At 37.8% G+C, this 21904-nt stretch overlaps 1 protein-coding gene across 3 annotated transcripts in view; it reads right to left on the bottom strand.

The window, feature by feature from the left end:
* Nucleotides 1-21904, bottom strand: part of VPS41 (VPS41 subunit of HOPS complex) — a 186218-nt gene that overhangs the window by 78471 nt on the left and 85843 nt on the right. For all 3 annotated transcript variants that reach the window (XR_007060008.1, NM_080631.4, NM_014396.4), the window contains 2 exons: nt 19759-19821; nt 16373-16438 (listed from right to left, as the gene is read on the bottom strand). Coding sequence is in view for 2 of the 3 variants with exons in the window: in NM_080631.4 (NP_542198.2) it covers nt 16373-16438; nt 19759-19821 (129 nt within the window). In the remaining variant the exon portion in view is untranslated. The remainder of the gene's footprint in view (nt 1-16372; nt 16439-19758; nt 19822-21904) is intronic.

Consider the following 21904-nt stretch of genomic DNA (forward strand, 5'->3'; position numbering starts at 1 on the left):
ATCACTTTATATTTTGTGGATGAAAAATAAGAAAATATCTGTAAATAAAGTAGGTCATCATAAACATACTAAGGAAATACTAAATAAAGTAGGTCATCATAAACATACTAAGGAAAGTCATCATTTAAGAGAATTCTTTTGTAAGTCAAATAATTTTCCCCCAATTTATTGGTTCTGTATATGTTTTATGGTCACACTGGTTTTCTCACTGCACAACTAACTATTAAATCTTGTTCACTGAGATTGGTGTGTTTACCTTGCATTTCCCCAACCAGTGCATTGGGGAAAAGGATCATATCTTATACTTTGCTAGACCCATAGGCATAATAAATATTAAATACTAAGTAGGCTATCCGAGTCTACTAGTCTTAATTCTTTCCTTCTCTGACCATACACACAATGCGTTTGCTACAGGAGGAGCTACACGATTTCCCAAAACGTTTCAGTTACTCAGCCTATCTTTACAGTTAGTAATACTCCTAAAATATTTTGAACACAATGGAATCTACTCCAATCTCAAAAATTTAAAGAACCCAATGACTAATTCACACAATCAACACAGCCTTGCTTTTAGAAAGGGCTCACTTCTATGGATCCCATATCCAGGCATGTAATGTCAGTCTATTTCCCTTTGCTGAAGGCCAGCAGATAGAATTTGTGCACAACTTGCCAAAAATTTGAAAGCTGCTTTTAAGGTTAGCCTTCCTCTATTAGGTTTAAGTAATTGCAGCTCTTTTATTTCAGAGACACGAACTGGCCACACGTTTGGCCTGAACGGTAATTTCTGAAATGTGTCTGCAGGCCTGCAGAAGGCTCTCTGGATTGCCACAGCGCCTACTTCTCCAGGCTCTCTCGCATGTGGCCTGCTTCTCTCCTTGATGTTACCTGCCTGGCCCCGTCGAACATTTATTTCTGCCTTTCCTCTCCACCCTACTTTATTCTTCACTCATGAGTCCACTTTTCCTATCCTACATAGTATAAAACCTTAAATGCCTGCTAGTAATTATGGAGTCATTTCTATATCTCTGAAACTCTCATGCAGGATTTGCTTTGATTTGACATAGAGTTTCATACAGAAGGGAGAATGGCCAAATGATCCACTCTCCATTGGCTTTTTTATCCTAATCTCTGTGAATTTCAAGCAGAAACATATTTTCTGACAAGAATGCCAAGGAAAGCTTTGCTTTGGTGATTTAAGAAAACATGAACTCCTTTTCTTACAAACATTCTATACTAATTTAACTACCTCAAAACTACCTGCCTGTACTTCACTGACATTTAATAATATCCATTTTTTCCTTCCAGTCATAAAACTGCCCACAGACCTACTGAGCACGAATGTTCTACAAAGCATTTTATGGGGTAAGCCATTGAAAAAAACTACGCTTAAAAGCAGCTGGTTAATTTATTTGGTTCATCTTCCATACCCTGTAATATTGAATTGTCATTATCACAATACTAAGAGCAATTTAAGCTCAATGGGAGCTAAGTACATAGAGAGGAAAAGCTGTTTCCAAGAGGTCTATTTTTTTGTTGGAAAAAGTATTTTAGGGCTTTATTTCCCATAAATCCACATTCTGGCAGTCAGCACTCTCAATACTTATATTTCAATATGAGCCCTCACATCCTCAGCAATATACTTTATTCTCCTCTGTTTTGTGCTGATAAATCTATCTAGTGCTTTCCTACTCTACAGAGTGGTATAAGGACATGGAGCCCAGAATCTCCCACATGTGTGGCAAGATTCTTATCAGGCTGTAATGAAGTCCCCGATTCTGGTCACCTAACGCCCATCATTACTTGTCACTCACTCTTCCCTGATGGAGTTGAAAAGAGTATCATTGGCCCTGTTTTAATCACCTTGTGATCTTTCAAGTTGATAAATCACTTGGCTCCTTCAGGCTTCCTAAATACTGACCACACTGCTAGCTTTGAGGCAGACAAGAAAGTGGGCAAGATTCAGCAGGGGCTTCAGCCGAGGGTCAAGGCTTAGATACCATGTGTGTTCCCACGGGGAGAACCAAGGGGCTTGAAGAAAACAAATATTTCACAAAGGAGGACCTGTGCTACGTCAGGAAGGTGCAGAAGATCCAGGTAATAAAATAGAGAAATAGAGAATAGTAAAACCCAGCAAATAAAACTGTCTCAATAAAAATAAACAAAGGGGATAACAATGGGAAAGTCTTGTTACAAAAGGATTTAAATATTCAAGATTAGAAAAGATCATGAGCAAAATTTTAAAAGTCAAGAAGGCAAGTGAGAAAAATATGAGTGAGTGTGGAGAAGACCTAGGATGGTGGCTGGCTACTGATGGCAAATGGGGTCTTGAACCCTGAAGGAGGCAGGAATGAATGACCAGGAACCCATATGGAGCAGGTAAGTGTCTTTGTTTTGCTTCGTGCTTAGGCTTAGTGCCAAAGTTTCAAACACGCAGCTTCTCTAAACACCACCAACAGCTCTACTGTGTCCATCAAGATAGAATATAAACATGTGGGAAGAAAAAGAGAACTTCCCAAATATATTATTTCCTTAAATTCAGTGGTTATTTTCTGAACAAGTTATAATGCTTCAATCTCCTTTATCTGAATTTAACATGTTTAAAACCAGTTCAGTATAGACAAAATGTTGGTACGACGGAAAACCTCTGTGCACAAGGGTTCCTAGAGCCCACTCAAATGCCACTTGCTTACAAACAATATTTTAGTAAACACCATTCCTATGCAACACAGACTTTTTTTTTTAACTTGTATTTTAATTTCAGGGGTTTATGTGCAGGTTTGTTATGTAGGTAAACTCGTGCCACAGGGGTTTGTTGTACAGATTATTTTGTCACCCAGGTATTAAGCCTACTATCCATTAGTTATTTTTTCTGATCCTCTCCCTTCTCCCATCCTCCATCCTCCAATAGGCCCCAGTGTGTGTTGTTCCCCTCTATGTATCCATGTGTTCTCATCATTTAGCTCCCACTTACAAATGAGAACATGTGGTATTTGGTTTTCCGTTCCTGCATTAGCAACACAGACTTTGGACATGCCCTTGCAGTTAATTCTGCGAAACCTATATAGACAGACCAATGCTCTGAAATTTAAAAAACACTGTATCAACATAAGGTAACGATCAATTCAGCAACCAAGAAATCCAAGCAAAGCTTCCATGAAAACAAAATAAGTTAAACAACGGACGTGCCATTTAGGAGCAGCTTTCTTTGCATTAAAAAACTAGAGATGACAGCTAGATAAAGATCTACCTACCCACCTATGCAGTATCTACCTACACACCTATGTGGGCTTGGCAATCAAGCCAGCATGTGAGGTAGTCCCCTATTTAGACTACTAATCTGCAATTGCTGCAAATGCAAGCACATAATTACAAGTGCGATTTCAGAAATGACTAGGACACTTTCTAAGTAATTTTACCACTTAAAAAAAATCTTCCATATGGATCCCACAGATTTAATAGAGCTGGCTGTTCATACCAAACACGTTGAGTCTGTTTTTCAGTTTGCAGCTATCTGAGGATACATTTTCCGGGCTGGGCCCAAGGTCAAACACCCTCAGCATCAGGGTAGAGATAACAGAAAAGTCATCCACTGGGTGATTAAACTTGAATTAATGTTCTCTGCAATGAACAAATATCTCTAACTTTAACTACATATAATCTCAATCACTGATGACTGGTGAAAATCCTTGCACAGTGAGTATATCAAAAAGAGATGCAAAATTGCTAAGTCTTGAATAATGCAGACAGTTACCTGAAAACACGGGTTTATGTATTTGAACAAGCCCTTCACACAATTCAAAGTAAAACAGGCCAGGCGCAGTGGCTCACGCCTGTAATCCCAGCACTTCAGGAGGCTGAGGTGGGCGGATCACAAGGTCAAGAAATGGAGATCATCCTGGCCAACATGGTGAAGCTCCGTCTCTACTAAAAATACAAAAATTAGCTGGGCGTGGTGGTGCACGCCTGTAGTCCCAGCTACTCGGGAGGCTGAGGCAGAAGAATCACTTGAACCTGGGAAGCAGAGATTGCAGTGAGCCGAGATCGCGCCACTGCACTCCAGCCTGGCAACAGAGTGAGAGTCTGTCTCAAAAAAACAAAAACAAAAACAAAGTAAAGCCCAAAAGTTGAAAAAAAAAAAAATCAGGAGACTATCTGCAGAAGAAAATGAGTCAAATGAACCCAATTTCAAGCATTATAATCCACTTTCTTACCATCTCTATGAAAAACTGGCATTAACTGGACACACTGGTCAGCATTGATAGCTTTCATGGAAGTGGCAGAACTGATGGTTTTGGGGCAGACTCACATCTACATGGTAACATATGTTCATCCTCTCTACACACTTCAGGGTCTACTCTAAAGCCTCATTTAGACTCCTATATAATGCCTCCCTGGGAACAACAATAATTATTCCAGATTTGGCCAAAATTGGAGAAAAGGCTGCAGGCTGTTCAGTAAGCAGCAATAATTTGTGCTCAAACTGACAGTAAATATCAAGTGGACAGCCTTCATTGTCCTGGCTTCTATGGTAATATTAAAAGCTGCCCTGAGCAAGGAATACAATCAGACAAATCACAAAGGAAGCTACAGAACTAGCTAATAAATAAAAATGTTCAAAATCACTAAAAATTCAAATATACTATAAAATAGAAAAATGGAGTATCTTTATATATCAGATTGGCAATGAGCATGTGGTAAAATAGGTACTCACACATAGCTGATGTAAACTGGTGTAAGTTTTCTGGAATACAATTTTACTTGGCAACACATATTAAATGCCTAAAAAATTATCATAACCTTTGATTCAGTAATTCCAATCCTAAGAATCAATGGTAGGAAAACATTCAGAGGAACAGATGAAAGGCCAAAGATTTCAAGGTTCACCACATCATGATTTATGACAGCCAAACACTGGATATAACCTAAAGGTCCAAAGACAGAAGAATGGTTAAGAAAATCAAATAGATCCATAAGATAGAATATTATGCAACTATTCAATAACACTGAGCTAAGAATAGACATCAATAATGTAGGGAATTTCATATGATGTACAGTGATAAGTTAAAACAAGATCTAAAATAATTGAGATTACTCTAAACATTCCTTTACTTTTTATTATTATAAAAATAATGCATGCTTACTACAAAAAAGTAAATAAAAGCCAATGAAGGTCAGAAAGAACATTCATAATCCTGCCCAGACACAAATATTGTTAATAATTTGGTGTACAGCCTTCCATGAATACATCTACATACATAATTTTATTTCTACAGAAAAGGATAATCAGACCATACATATATTTTAGAAAAGTACCTCAACAGAAGCAATCTAACAAATGTTGAGAATTTTATTTATTCCAACTGAGAAAGAGAAAAGCTGACAACCAGAAGCTAGCCTGGCACCCACAGCAGGGCTCTGATGTTCTCTTGATGAATATAAACAATTTCACACAAAACCAACATCAGCCGAGGCCACTCCATGACCATGAAGGACCAGGACAGAAGCAAGACCACTCCATAATCATGTCTGAATGCAAACAAGACATGAACATTTTCCAAGTCGTGGCAATGACCAAACACCTCCCACTTTGGCTAAAATGACAGACTGCTGCTTCTTTACCAGTTATGACTTTGGCTTTGGCTTAGGCTTTTCTCCTTCTAGATAAGATTTATCAAAATGCCCAGCTGTAGAATTACTCATGCTTCATGACAGCATCCAATCTAGAGCAAAGCCCTGATGCCTTAAACCTCCCCAAAATCACCTCACACCAGCCTAAATCCTACAATTCTTCTAACATCTTCCTAAAACCATATGGGGTACTCCTGGTGATCTTTGGCCGCAGGGCACTGACACAGCTAATTCACTATTGTTAGACAGCTTGTACCAATTTTCACTGTTACAAATATCAAGAAAATTGGCTGAAACTGAGTTAGAAAATTAAAAGGAAAACAAACAAACCATACAGGTCGAGGGGGATCCAAAAGGCTTAAAGACAAATAAAGGACTGTAAATTTACCCCATAGTGTTGTATGTGAATATACAAATACACTCATTTTCCTGTCAAGTCACTATTCTGACTAATGGTCTTATTAACTATATTCTACCTACACCATCCTATCTATATGCTTTTGGAAGCCTACCACCATTTCTGAAATCAAGATCCTGTGTACACACAGCACCTAACATGAAGCATGACACAAGGTTGTATTCAGGAAGCAGATTCAAACCAAATACTCCTGTGAAATGACTGTGATTTAGTTTGTACCACGACACCAACTAACAATGACTGCAATTGTGACCCCTTGCTTTATACAGCCTTCTCTTAAAGCAAAAGAGAGAAAGAGAACCTCTGTGTTAATGAATCAGCTGATGTTAAATCCCACAAGAATATCTAATGAACACCTCTGAACTGGCAATGACACTTGCAGTCCTTGCTCAAAATACTTAAGAATAAGCACAGGACTCTCCATATGCAAAAGAAGATATTATCAGCAAGGAGCAAAAGATGGTTATAAGGAAGAGAGATGGTAGTTTTAACATCAGAGTTCAGGGGAAAGCTACAATCAGTATGGAAATATATGAAAAAGTTAGCTGAACTCATTAAAGAAAAAAGTATATTTTTTAACAGGCATTTGATGGATATGAGACAATGGGAATCATAAAGGAAAATGAAGTTGCTATGGACCCAACTCTCCCACCCTGACCGCTGTAGATACCATTCAAATACTCTGGGAGTCCTACATATTGACATCAAAAAAGCAATCAGCAATGAAGAACACCTGTTTTTCCGACTGAAAATGATTTTTATTTAAGCATTATATTTCTATTTTTAGCCTCAGATAGCTTAGTATACATAGGAAAACTCACCGAAAAATACTTTAAACAGTAGAGCTATTTTATTGCTTGGTTTTTCATATCTAAAAAAATGCTTGTGAAGGTTACATTTGTGTTTTACTTCCTGCTAATCAATGGTTTTTAATCAATTTTGGTACATTGATGACAGCATGAAATACATTTCTAGGAATGAGACCACAATTTACAACACAGTACCTAGAATAAATAAAGGTATGTATTTACAATGCCTCAACGTGCAACCGTTAGATTGGTGGCTGCCTGTGGTGTAACTGTGAATTAACTAGGGAGCCTTAATTTTAATTCTTAAAAATGTTCAGACGATTCACTTGAAAACTACAATGGTAAGTAATGTGGGAAGAAGTTTCAGGTAGAAGGCTACAATCAAGCATCTGAAAACTTGCGGAAATACTATCCTAGAGATCCAAACACTGGACAGGAGACAGAGAGGAACTGCTAATGTCAAAACCCTTCTAGCCACCAAAACCCCAGCTCCAATCTGACCCAAAGATGAACAAACACACGAGGAAGCACTCCTACACTTCATGTTTAGGGATGGCAGTGGTAAGAAAAGGCTCACCGGATTATCTAGATTCTAAAAAGATTTGTAGCCAGGGGACTGGGAGCTATTGGCAGATGCTGGCCAAAAGGGCACAGACTTTCAGTTCTAAGATGAATAAATTCGGGGATCTAATGTACGCTATGGTTACTATATTTAATAATGCCATATTAAATACTTAAAATTTACCAATGGATTTTAAGTATTCTCATCCCCAAAGAAATGGTAACTATGTGAGGCAACTGATAATGTTAATTAGCTTGAACGTGGCAATCACTTCACAATAAATACTAAATACATTTGGTATATATCAAATCATCATTGTATAACTTAAATATGTATAATTTGGCTGGGCATGGTGGCTGACGCCTGTAATCCTAGCACTTTGGGAGGCCGAGGCAGGCGGATCACGAGGTCAGGAGTTTGAGACCAGCCTGGCCAACATAGTGAAACCCCGTCTCTACTAAAAATACAAAAATATATATATATGTATATTTTATATATATATATAATATAAAATTTTAATTTGTCAATTATACCTCAATAAAGCTAGAAAAAAATAAAAATGTTGATAACATGGGCAAAAGAAATAAAATTTAAAAACAATCTTAATAATAATTTTTTAAATATTTACAGTTTTATAAAAAGCTTCCCATATTGAATCCTCCCTCAAAAAGGATTCAAAATCCAATTTATTATTTGCAGACCACTGCTGGAAGCTTATAGAAGCTGGCTGACACTACCATCTCTGTCCTTCAGGTAAAATTTGCCATTTCAAATTTTCCTCATTTCATTCACTCCAGTCCTTTCCTTGTTTGCTGACTGACATTTTCCAGCTTACAAAGCAACTTGCCCCTGCGGCCAGGTCCCCTCATTCTATCCCACCGTAACGCCAAACAGCTGACTATCTGATTTCTAAAAATGAACTCCACTGCAAACAGCATCGCGACAATTTAATGATTTGTCAAAGTAGTAGAACCAGTTATTATAAAGTGTATTTCAGTGTTCAAAAGTAAAGGTCCTATGAAGCTAAAGCTTACCTGCTGACAGGGAAAGCTGGACAATTAAAAAAAAAAATCCAGACAACATTCACTTGACAGATTTATTTCTAAAATAGAAACTTCATTTGCCATGCTCCTGTATTAAAATTCTTGCTACAAAAGAAGGTTACACTTACAAAAAAAATTCATTGGTTCACGTGTTTGAAAGCTCTCTCCAATGGCACTTTTAAGAGATGTGCTTTCTCTTTTTTTTTTTTCAAGATGGAAACAAAACAGAATATGGAATAAGCTTTTTATGCTCATGTGTCAAGCACTGGAGTCCATAAATCCAGCTATGGCATTCAACTACTAAGAAGATACCTTGAAAACCTAAAATAAAAGTTTATGCCAGACAGAACTATAGCCTCCTAGTCCTAGTCCCTGGTGGATAAAGAGCTATCTCTGAACACCTAAGAAGCCAGAACTTTGAAAAGGAAATAGCTGTCAAACTACAGTTTCAGGGTTTCTTCTGTTACATTGCTATGTTCTGCAATGTATGTTGCATACTTTGAAAAGTATGTTCTAATTACTTTAATAATTTTTATAGGAATCAAAAATTGTAATAAGATTAAAGAACTATTAAATATTAATAGACATCTCTCTCAAATTTTCTTATGACTTCACGAATATCTCATAGTGGTCCTCTATTTTTCTACTTAGTTCCTCTAGTCTCTGTGCCACTTTAACCCATTGTTTGTAGAAGGTGGCATATAATTCCAACGATTTATTTGGCTGTCAGTCTAGAGATCACTGTTCTTAAGGGTTAAGAATGTCTTTATTCCACATTACACCTTCATTTGGCTAGTCTTTGCTCCAATTTTTTGAAGATTAAATTATTTCTTAAAGGCAGAAAGTCATAACCTCTCAGTTATCTGACATATGTCTTTATTCTCTTTTCCCCCTATGTGATCTGCCACCTGTTCTCAACAGAGGAGGGATCTTGATATCTATAACATGATTATTGCAAGGTTATAACCATTTGCTAAATGTTGGGCTTTTCAAAATTGTTCTGCCTAGTTTCTGCTGCTAGTTTAAAATTGCAGCTGAAAGGATTGAAGTAGCTACTGAGCCAATGTAGTTATCTCATTTTTCAAAGATATAAACCTCTATAACTCAGTTACAAAAAGAGCAGCTCCTCCTAAAAATTTGCGAACACTTTCAAAATGAAAGTGATCATTTCACAAGTCCTCCTTTCTTAATGTAACCTTCTAAATGCCTTTAGTTTTTAACATCAGATATATTTCTTAATGAAATTAGAAAAATACATCCTAAAATACCTCAACTAAATAAATCTATTTCAAAACAAACAAAACACGCTAATGTCAAAAACATGAAGCATAAATAATCTTTACAAGTACATACCACACAACATGTAGAAAAAGGAAATTCTCTGGAGATTTCTGCAAACCACACCAAGCTGATACACATTTTGAAAATCTCCATTTAACCATATGCAAACAGATCATTATAGTTTATCAAGAAAATGGTACTTTTTAGTACTTAGTAAATACATATTTACATGATAAAATTTAATGGATCCAAATAAATCAAAGTTTGTATGTTACAAGTCATTAAATTGCGGACACAGTTACATGTTTCTAAAGCCTTTAACATAAGTAAAATAAATTATAATGGCTTTTTTAAATAAATTATTCTAAATCACAAACTATTATCACACTTTTAAAAGACTTGTTTTGTCATACACACACACACACACACACACACCCCTCCATATATACAGATAGATAGATATATCTCATTCATATATATATATATCTTCTGTAGTAAGTGGAAATAATTTGCTTGTATTACCCTAGGGTGCTTTGATTGTACTGGGAATAAAAACAGGTTTTCCTTAAAGAATGATGATATATAATGGCTTTTTAAAGGGAAAGAACCCCAAACCAAAGTTTTAAGAGTAGACAGTCTTTGACTTATGATTATTTGACTTAATGATTTTTCAACTTTATGATGGTACCTATACAATGATTAAATTTTTCACTTTCAGTCTTCAATAAATTACATTATATATTCAATGCTTTATTATAAAATAGGCTTTGTGTTAAATGATTTTGCCTAACTGTAGTGTTCTGACTACAATTAAGGTAGGCTAGGCTAAGATGTGATGTTCAGTAGGTTAAGTATATCAAATGCATTTTTGACTTAACAATATTTTTAACTTACAATAGGCTTATCAGGACAACCTCAACTGTAAATTGAGGAGCATTTGTAGTTCATCTGCCATCCCATAACTAATTACAGAAAAATTAGTGGCTTTGAAACCTAAAAGGGGTACTGGCATAAAGATAGCTATATAGATTGGTAGAATTCAGAATCCAGAAATAAACCCTAACATTTATGGTTAACCAATTTTCCACAAAGGGCCCACACAATGGGAAAAGAATAGTCTTTGCAACAGTGATGCTGGGCCAACTGGATATTCACATGCAAAAGAATAAATTTGGACTCCTGTCTTACATCATACATAATGAACTCAAAATATATTGTACACCTAATTTAAGAGTAAAAAATACAAAAGTCTTAAAAGAAACAAGCATTAATCTTCATGACCTTGGAAGAGGCAACAGGCAGTGATCTCTTAGATACAACACCAATAGCACAAGTATCAAAAAAATTAAGATAAATGTGACTTTATTAAAGTTACAAACTTCTGTGCCTCAAAGGATACCATCAATAAAGTGAAAAGACAACTCATAGGCTGGGAAAAAATATTTGCGAATCATGTATCTGATAAGGAATATCTACCCAGAATTTATTTTTGAAGTTTATAACTCTATAATTAAAAAAACCCAATTAAAAAATAGGCGAAGAATCTGAATAAACATTTCTCCAAAGAAGATATGCAAATGGCCAATAAGCACAGGAAAACATGGTCAACATCATCAGTCATTAGAAGAAAGTCAAAACCACAATGAGATATCACTTAACACATACCAGAGTGATTATAATCAAAAAGAGAAAATAAAATGAATATTGGTGAGAATGTAGACAATTAAAACCCTCATATATTTCTGATGAGAATGTAAAATGGAACAATCACTTTGGGAAACGGTTTGGCAATTCTTCAAAATGTCCAACATAGAGTTACTATATGATTCAACAATTCCATACTCAAGAGAAATGAAAACACACAGCCACAAAAAGCTGTACAAAAATGTTCATAGCAGCATTATTCATAATAGCCAAAAAGTAGAAACAATCCAAATGTCAATCAAGCGACAAACGGATGAATAAAACATGATAGATCTATACAATGAAATATCATCTGGACATAAAAAGGAATGAAATACGGATACATGCCACAACATTGATGTACCTAGAAAAATAAGGAAAGAAGTTAGACACAAAGGCCATATATTACATGATTCCATTTATATGAAATATCCAGAATAGGAAAACTTATAGAGAAAGAAAATAGATTAGTGGTTGCCTAGGGATGAGAGGAGGGGAGGAAGGAAGATGGGGAGTGACTGCTAATAGGTGCAAGGTTTCTTTTTGGGGTGACGGAAGTGTTCTAAAATTAGCTTACGTTGATGGTTACACAGCACTGTAAATATATTAAAAACGACTAAACAGCACACTATCATCTGGTGAACCTCATGGTATGCAAATTATGTATCAATAAAACTATTTTAAAACAGCTAAAAAAATAATGACTTAATACCAATTACTTACACTGACATGGGTAATCACGGGATTCCTCACTTTAAAATATCATACATGTGCTTTTCTCATGCCCCATATACTAAGCCTTACATACAATACACTAAGCTCTTCAGTGTATGTTTTCTTTTAAATTATTTTAGTCCCAAATGTCTAAGTTAATAATAAAATCATTTTTAATTCAATTTTTCACCAGATGACCTTAACTGTTTTTATTTTACTCTCATGTTATATACATATAAACTTTTTTTCTGTATGCTTGGAACGAGATGTCAACAGATGCATTTTTGGAGAACTGAATAGGAAAAAAAAATTACTCTCTCATAGAAAACTGAACATAGAACAGCTTGTCAAGTAGTCAGTGACAACCAAAGAGACAAACCAAACCCCTGATGTTCTGCCTGTTCAGCATTTTTTGAATTCTACTTATCTTATTGCTTATCACAATGTCCAACTTTCTATAAATTCCAAGCTCTTCCCATGTTATCTTACCAACAATTAGATGCTAGATTACTCTGTTGTTCCTGCACTGCTCATGGATCTACTCAATGGACTCTGACCCAGACTGCTGCATGCACACTGTCCTTTCTACGGATGTCTGCAAATGATATCAAATGCTAAGTAAAAGGATGAAGAATATGTTACTGACAGTTAACCCAGACATCCTACAGGGAGACAAGACACTCATGCAGCAGAATTAATGTGGCAAACTTGATAAGACTACAGGTATCCCTTGCAGCAGAAAAGCAATTATTAAACTTCACGAATACACTGATTATTAAAGAACACAGGCCGGGCGTGGTGGCTCACGCCTGTAAGCCCAGCACTTTGGAAGGCCGAGCGGATGGATCACAAGGTCAGGAGATCAAGACCATCCTGGCTAACACAGTGAAACCCCGTCTCTACTAAAAATACAAAATATTAGCCAGGCATGGTGGCAGGCGCCTGTAGTCCCAGCTACTCGGGAGGCTGAGGGAGGAGAATGGCGTGAACCCGGCAGGCAGAGCTTGCAGCGAGCCGAGATCGCGCCACTGCACTCTAGCCTGGGCGACAGAGCAAAACTCTGTCTCAAAAAAAACAAAAACAAAAACAAAAAAACATAAACCAACACAGCAAAATCTCTCCTCCAAATCTTCAGTCCTACCACATGGACATCAACACTCATATTATCTCTGGTATGTTCTTTTATTCTAATACCTTCAAGAAATAGGGGACAACTGTAAAATCTCTAACTCTTGAAATTGGAAATTGAAAATCAAAACTGCATCAAAACATGCTAGGGAAATATTTAAACCAAAGTGATTTATCAATATTTTAAGTGTATAGCAGATTATTAAGAAGGCAGCAGACATCTTAGAACCTGACCTTCCAGCCCCGGTCAAGCAGCTCCAACCAATATCCCAATTGAACCCTCATGAGCAACCTTCAGCCAGGGCCTAACAGCTAAGCCACTCTTGAATTTTCTAAGTATGAGATAATAAATGTTTGTTGTTTTAAGTCATTTAAAACAAAAAGCAGTGACCATTCCCAGTGAGAATTAAATAAAATGTAATTCTTTATTCAGCCAGGCATGGTGGCTCATGCCTGTAATACCAACGCTTTGGGAGGCCGAGGTGGGCTGATCACCTGAAGTCAGGAGTTTGAGACCAGCCTGGCCAACATGGTAAAACCCCATCTCTACTAACAATACAAAAATCAGCTGGGTAGGGTGGTGGGCATCTGTAGTCCCAGCTACTCAGGAGGCTGAGGCAGGAGAATTCCTTCAACTCGGGAGGTGGAGGTTGCAGTGAGCCGAGATCATGCCACTGCACCCCAACTTGGGCAACAGAGCAAGACTCCGTCTCAAAAAAGAAAAAAAAGAAAAATTATTTATTCTTACTGAGTTTTTAATAAGAACACCTGGGTTTAAATTTCAGCTATGTGAACTTATGCTATTATCACTGTGATGGTTAATAACAAGTGTCAACTTGATTGGATTGAAGGATGCAAAGTATTGCTCCTGGGTGTGTCTGAGGGTGCTGCCCAAAGGAGATTAACATTTGAGTTGGTGGACTGGGAGAGGCAGACCCACCCTCAATCTGCATGGGCACAATCTAATCTAATCAGCTAATCTGGCCAGGATGGCCAGAATAAAAGCAGGCAGAAGAACGTGAAAAGACTAGACTGGCTTAGCCTCCCAGCCTACATCTTTCTCTCTTGCTGGATGTTTCCTGCCCTTGAACATCAGACTCCAAGTTCTTCAGCTTAGGACTCAGACTGGCTTCCTTGCTCCTCCGCTTGCAGAGATGGCCTATTGCGGGACCTCATTTTGTGATCTTGTGAGTTAATACTCCCCAATAAACTACTATATATATATATATATACACATATATACACACACACACATCTATCCTATTAATTCTCTCCCTCTAGAGAACCCTAATACAATCATACACAAAATTTCTTAACCCAAAAAGTGTTTAGTGAAGAAATACGAGAGGAATGTTAATGCTACTCTTTCCTGAGGCTGACAAAGACAAAGACAAGTAAGGTAGTTATTTTTTCAGGAGTGGATCAGCTGCAGACCTAAGCTAGAGAATGTGAGATTAGGTCTGTAATTCCCACTAATTAGTCCCCTGGACATTTTAACATAAGGTGAATGCAACTACAGCCTAAGAATAACAATGGGCTGTGAGATGGGGGAAGGAGGGGCTCTCTAACAGAAATCAGAACTGGCGTGATCTTGGCTTTATGTTGTGGAATGGAATCAGGATCTACCAACCTGCCACTCATTACAACGAGTCATGTAATGACCAGAAGGTTTTCCCGCCCTATCATTCTATTAACTATTGAACCAAGGGAAAATGACAGATAAGTATCATAAAACATTTAAAAGCATTCAGTAGCTGGGCCTCAAAGCAGCCATTCCATAGCTCTATACTACTACAGAAATAGCTATAGACTACTTCCTTTTCACTGGCTCCAAACCGAATAGTAAATAATATTCGGAGTTCCAGTATGGTGATAGCATTTAGTATAAAAACAGTCTTTAAAATATCTCTAAGTAATAAAAACAGAAAAAAAACTAATTTGACTTATTCTATAAGCAGACAGATTCTTTAATTTGAGAATTTACTACATCTATAAACAGAAAAATGTTAATATATGAAAGTTTTTCTCTCTTATTTCTCTTTACATTTTTTAAGAGACAGGGTCTTGCTCTTTCACCCAGGCTGGAGTGCAATGGCACAATTATAGCTCACTGCAACCTCAAACTCCTAGGTTCAAGTGATCCTCCCACCTCAGCCTCTTCAATAGCTAGGACTAGAGGCATACCACCACACGCAGCTAATTTCTTCATTTTTTTGTAGAGTCGGTCTCACTCGTTGCCCAGGCTGGTTTCAAACTCCCAGCCTCAAGTGATCCTCCCACCTTGGCCTCCCAAAATGTTGGAATCATAGGAGTGAGCCACCATTATGCCCAGTCCAATCTCTTATTTTTTAAATAGCACTGAGATAATAAAATGTGCCATGAACATGTCAGCGAAGAGTAGCCATAACTGCTCTAAAAGTTTATCAAGGCCCGCAAGAGATTTTCTACAAGGAAAAAAAAAATCGGAAAAAAAAAATCAGTAGTTTAAGTGTGCTTTTGTTATTTTTAAATGCTGCCTCTTTTTTGTGGGAGGGGCAATGTTTCAAAGCTCTAGATGTAACAGCTCTCTTATTTTCTTGTCCTATATCTACTTCAAAGAAATGTAGCAAGAGGCTGGGCGCAGTGGCTCACGCCTGTCATCCCAGGGCTTTGGGAGGCCGAGGAGAGCAGATCACCTGAGGTCAAGAGTTCAAGACCAGCCAGGCCATGTCTTTAGTAGAGACATGGCAAAACCCCAACTCTACTAAAAATACAAAAATTAGCCAGGCACGATAGTGGGCATCCGTAATCCCAGCTACTCGTGAGGCTGATGCAGGAGAACCACTTGAACCCAGGAGGCGGAGGCTGCAGTGAGCCAAGATCACGCCACTGCACTCCATCCTGGGCGACAGAGCAAGACTCCGTCTCAACAAAAAAAGCAATGTAGTGAGAAACACTGAAGCCACAACTCCCCCAAGAGATGATGATCATCAGATTTCATTACATTTGTCTTTCTCGAATTTCTCCTAATGAATAGCCAGACATAAAAACATTAAGGATAAATTACAGAGTAAGCACACAACACCCCTCAAGGCTACATATCAAGGTAGAGACACACAGCACTTACCTTCTTCCCTCCGGTCACAAACTGCTTGCAACTGGATCTCACGAAATGTGGGTGCACAGCAATAATCTACAAGAGAAACAGAACCCAACTCTGGTTTAGGAGTCATGGCCAATGCACAGAATGAAAACCCCTGACACAGTTCAAGCAGCATGATCTAAAAATTATCCTGAAACCTTGGTAGGAAGTAATATATTCAAATCATATTTTACAACAACTGATGACATCTGAGTTTTCTTCTTACGTGAAAAGATTTCTTCTCTGAAGCCAGGTCAAAGCTCAAAGAGTAGGATAAGTCAGTTCTAGTTTCTGGCTGAGGACCCCTATAAGTGGATGTCACCTGTATAGAGGCAGCAAGGGAGGTCAAGGGAGGTTGGTCAAGGTAGCAAGATGTCACAACTGTTTCTAACTGGATACAATTTACAGAAAACAAAACAAAAAAAAAAAAACAGAAAGAAGCCAACTAACTCCTTGTCCAAGATGACTCTCAATGATAGACGGCACCAAGTGGCAACGCAGCCTCCCAGACGTTTAGCCCACTTACACCAAGACCCCATCAATGGAGAGAGAACAGAGCTACAGGCCCAAAGAGCTAACCGTTCAGGACTTAGCTTTTTAGATACAACCTGTTCCCCTGATTCTCATCTGCTTCCCACTCATCCAATCTTTCTCCAGCCCCTTGCTACCCAGGTTTCTCTTAAGGTTGCTCCACCACCCTTGTTACTGTTTCCTTCATTTGCAAGGGCTTTATGATTACATAACATCATTAACATCTTGGGGAGGGGATGAAAACAAAAGCCCTCGTGGCTCCACTCAGTGCACCTCCATCTTTGGAGCTCATCTGTTGTGGCTGTAAGCTTGCATAGACTCCACCTCCTTCTCTCTTTATCCCCAAACCACCCATGAAATCACCAACTTAACTAATTTTGTGTTTTTCTAATTTAACATAGAGAATTTTTTTTAGGTAAACACACACACAAAATCTCACACAATTTTACTTCTATATACCTTCAATTAAACATATTTTATACTTGTATTAATTGACACATTTCCCTCCTACAATGGAATAGATTCCTCTTCCTACAATGTCATTTTTAAGGATTAGCATATGATCCTTCATTGCTCTAAACACTCCTACCTCCCAGGTTAGCCCTTCTTCCCTTCAACACTTTCCTAATCCATCCTCAATACCAGTAGTGAAGGATTCACACATTCTATTGTTTCACATTCTTAAACTCTCCCCCTAGCTCTCTCGTAATGCATAACTGTAGATCAGGGACTGATTCCAAACATCTCCTCTGCTCCTCAAACACATTATGTTACCCTTTTCTTCCCTTCAGATGTAAGAAAATAAAGCCATCAGGGTCATTGCCCACAAGTGCTCCTCCTTCACTGTCTAACTTGCAATAGCTAGGCTCAGTCCACTTCCTTCATGCCTGTTTCACAGGCAGAGGGTCTAGGACTCTTCCAAGATTATCTTCCCTACCTAAGCTGTTGATCTCATTGCTTAGTGCTGCTCCAAGAAGCATTCTCTTTATTTTTAATCTTTTCCTCTTCACTGGTTTTTGCCATGAACCAAAACATGGTCGGCAAAAACCTTCCCAGGACACGGCCCCTCTCTCTACCAGATGATCTCTCTTCTTTATTACTAAATTTCTTTAAAGAAGAGTCTCTGCTGATTGTTTCTACTTCCTCATCTCCAATTTATTCCTTCATGTATAGTGACCCTCCTGCTCTGAAAAGAGTCCTCAGCAAGGTCACCAGTAACTTCAAAATCACCACATAGAATGCCCTTGTTTCAGTCCTTCCCCCTATTTAATCTCCACACTGCATTCGACACTGCTGACCACTTCCTCCTTGTAGAAACCCTCTCTCCCCTGGCTTCTCTGACACCACTCTTCGGGATTCCTTACAGTCCCTCCAACTGCTTCTTCTTAGACTCCTTTGCTGTTTTTTCTTCCACAGCCTGAGTATTCAAGTTAGAGTGTTCCAGAATTTCACCATCAGTCTTCTCTTCTCACTCTACAGCTCTAAATTGGATAATATCTTTAAAAATAGCTTCACCTTATTCAACTATGGTTATCACGTTTGTGTTTAAGGGCCAATCTCCATCCTGAGGCCCATATTCATGTTTCTAAAACCTCCGTAACGTCCCCACCTGATGTACTACACTTATCTAAACTCAGGACCAAACTAGCCTAGCCATGTCCTTACTCAAACATACCCTACTGCAACTGATGGCATCCCACACCCCATCCCCAAAGCGAGAACCTGAACTGACCCTGAGCTCTTCCGTCTTTCATCACCCTCATCCAAGCCATCACTAAGGCTCGCTAAGTCTATTTAGCACAGGCTGTCCAAATAAATTTCATCCTTTCCATCTTGAACACTCACTATCATTCTTTTCATTGAGATCCTGTAATGCCCTGCCTAGAGTATTATATTAGGCTTCTAAATTGTCTTTTGTCCCCAATCACTCTCCTGTTTAAATCACCCTCCACTCTGGCAAATTCAACTTTTTAAAACATACATCAGACCCTATCTCTCCTTTACCTGCTGGTCAATAAATGTTTGAATAAACAGGTGAAAAAAATAAATGACCTCTTCCTTCAACAACTATAATAGACACCTCAACTACCATAATTTTTATCTAAAACTAGTCCTCTTGACTCTTATCTGTCCTTCAATCAATACTGTATACAGTCACCATATTAATTTTCTTAAAGCTTAGTTCAGTTTATTTACTTTGTTCTTAAATATTTAGTAATTTCTAGTTATCTACCAAATGGAGTCCAAATTCTTCAGCCTGAATGTAAAGCCAGCCCAATCTTCCTTCACATTCTCTTGTGAAATCAGTCTTTTATGTACCAAATAAATTGGACAATTTGCCATTTCCTGAACACAAGGTGAACTTTCTAGCCTCTCCATTTCTATTATGTTGTTCTTCCACATGGAAAGCCAGCTTCTCTCATCAGTCCTTCTCCATTTATTAAAGCCAAGTTAAACATCACTCCACCAATGAAGCCATCACTGACAAGAACAGCTAAAAGTGATTCCTTTCAGCTTTGGAACGCTTAATATTATTCCTACCTCTTTGAGTCTTTTACCACAGATCGTGTGTGTGTGTGCGTGCGTGTGTGTGTGTATGTGTGTGTGAGTGATCTCACTCACTATAATAAAATACCCCTGAAGACAGACTGAGATCACAGTCACAAAATACACATTCTGTCTTCTTTCACAGCATCTAAATAGTATCCAGTACATCTGAAGTGTTGAACAGACACTTACTGACAAAATTAATACAGAAGTGGTAATGTTCAAATTACTGTAATCCATATTGCCTTACTTGAGAAAACCCTTAGAAAAAGTAAAACTTGCTGAATACTTACTTTAATGGGACAGTCAAAAGTCTCGTGAAATTCTTCTCCAGAATACAGTCCAAATACCTGCACCTACAAAGAAAATGGATTGTATCAGCTCACCATGACAGCAATAGAGAAGGCTACTGAGTCAGTATGAACACATACTATCAATAAGAAAAGTAGAATATTTAATAATTTTAAGGCCCCGTGACCTCTATTAAATATCTAATGAAAACAATCCCATCAGCCACGTACGGTGGCTCACGCCTGTAATCCCAGCACTTTGAGAGGCAGAGGCCGAGGTGGGTGGATCACCTAAGGTCAGGAGTTGAAGACCACCCTGACCAATATGGTGAAACCCCATCTCTACTAAAAATATGAAAATTAGCCAGGCATGGTGGCGTGCATCTGTAGTCCCAGCTACTCAGGAGGATGATAGGAGAATTGCTTGAACCTGGGAGGCAGAGGTTGCAGAGAGCCGAGATTGCGCCACTGCACTCCAGCATGGGTGACAGAGTGAGACTCCGTCTCAAAAAAAAAAAAAAAGAAAAAGAAAAAGAAAAAAGAAAAAAGAAAATCCCATCAGGTTGAGGGTACTTTGCTGCAATTAAGCTTTCATAAGCATTCCATGGATAGAGTTCCCTTCAATCACCACAAATTGTATTAAATGCATGCCATTAAAACAATGAAACAGATTTGAACAAGTTATTACTATTCTTTTATAAACTTCCATAAGCTGTCCCTAAAGGAACTATTTTTTCATCCCTTAAAGGAAAGGGGAGATTTTTTTTTAGTGTCTCTCATATATATAAAATAAACCAACCATGTAGATCAGTGTGGTAAGAGATTAGGTGAACCACACTTCACTCACAACTTATGCTAAATCTACTGAGAATACAGAAATGAAAGATTTAAGTTCCTGCTTATCAGTGTCTCCCTTAAAGTTGTTCCAGGCTACTTTATTCATACTTAGTATATTTTCTGAGTGCTTTACTTAACAACAACAAAACAAAAACAAAACTGAAATATAAAACACATGCTATAAAAAATACAAATCATAAATTTATAGTTTGATGAATTTTTATGACACGAACATATCCGTGTAACCATCACTCTGATCAAGAAATAGAAGCCAATAAGCTCCTTTGTTTCCCTTTCCAGTAAATAACACCCTCCAACTAATCACTACCCTCAAAGCTACTGGCATGGATAAGTTGTGCTGGTGTTAGAATTTTGTAAGTAAGGAATCATATTCTATTTCACTGATTTATTTCATTCATTATTTAACATTTTCTTTGTGAGATTTAGCCACACTGTTGGATATAGTAGAGGTTGCTTCTTTGCCACTGCTGGGTATTATTTCATGTATGAATATATCACAATTCACATATCCATCTTCCATTGATGACCACTTAGGTTGTTTCCAGATTGGGGCTATCATGAATACTGCTGCTAAGAACATGCTTTGCAAATCTTTTGGTGGACTTATATACATATTCATGAAGGGTGTATACCTTGGAATGGAATTGCTGAGTCATAGGTTATGTGCATGTTCACATTTAATAGGCAAACCATTTCACAAAGTGGTTTCAAATTAATTATGCTCTCACCATGAGAAAGTTTGAATGTTTGTGTTCCCCCAAATTCATTACGTTGAAACCTAACCTCCAAAGTGATGGTTATTTATACTCTCAGCATAAGAATTCCATGAGATCTCAAATGCTTGGAGCTAACAAATAGTACTAGAGCCAATGAGAACTATTTCCCAACATTGGAATGTGTTCACTGTCTTTCTAGTCTCTAGTATAGTGGTATTATTCTTCTTTAACTTTTGTAGGAATTCACTGGTGAAGCCATCTAGGTCTCATGGCTTTGCTATGGTCTGAATGTATGTGTTCTCCCCAAATTCACTGTGTTGAAACCTAACCTCCAAGGTGATGGTATTAAGAAGTAGGGCCTTTAGTGAGTGATTAAATTATGAAGGTGGAGCCCTCATAGGTGAGATTGGTGCCCTTATAAGAAAGCTTGGGGTAACTAGCTATAGCTTGAGGTGACTAGCTAGTCCTTTTGCTCTTCTGCCTTCTGCCACACAGGGACACATAATTCATCCCTTCTGCCATGTGAAGTTACAATAACAAGGCGCCATCTTGGAAGCAAGGAGAGCAGCCCTCAC

This window comes from Homo sapiens, chromosome 7, assembly GCF_000001405.40.
Source record: "Homo sapiens chromosome 7, GRCh38.p14 Primary Assembly".
Taxonomy (NCBI): domain Eukaryota; kingdom Metazoa; phylum Chordata; class Mammalia; order Primates; family Hominidae; genus Homo; species Homo sapiens.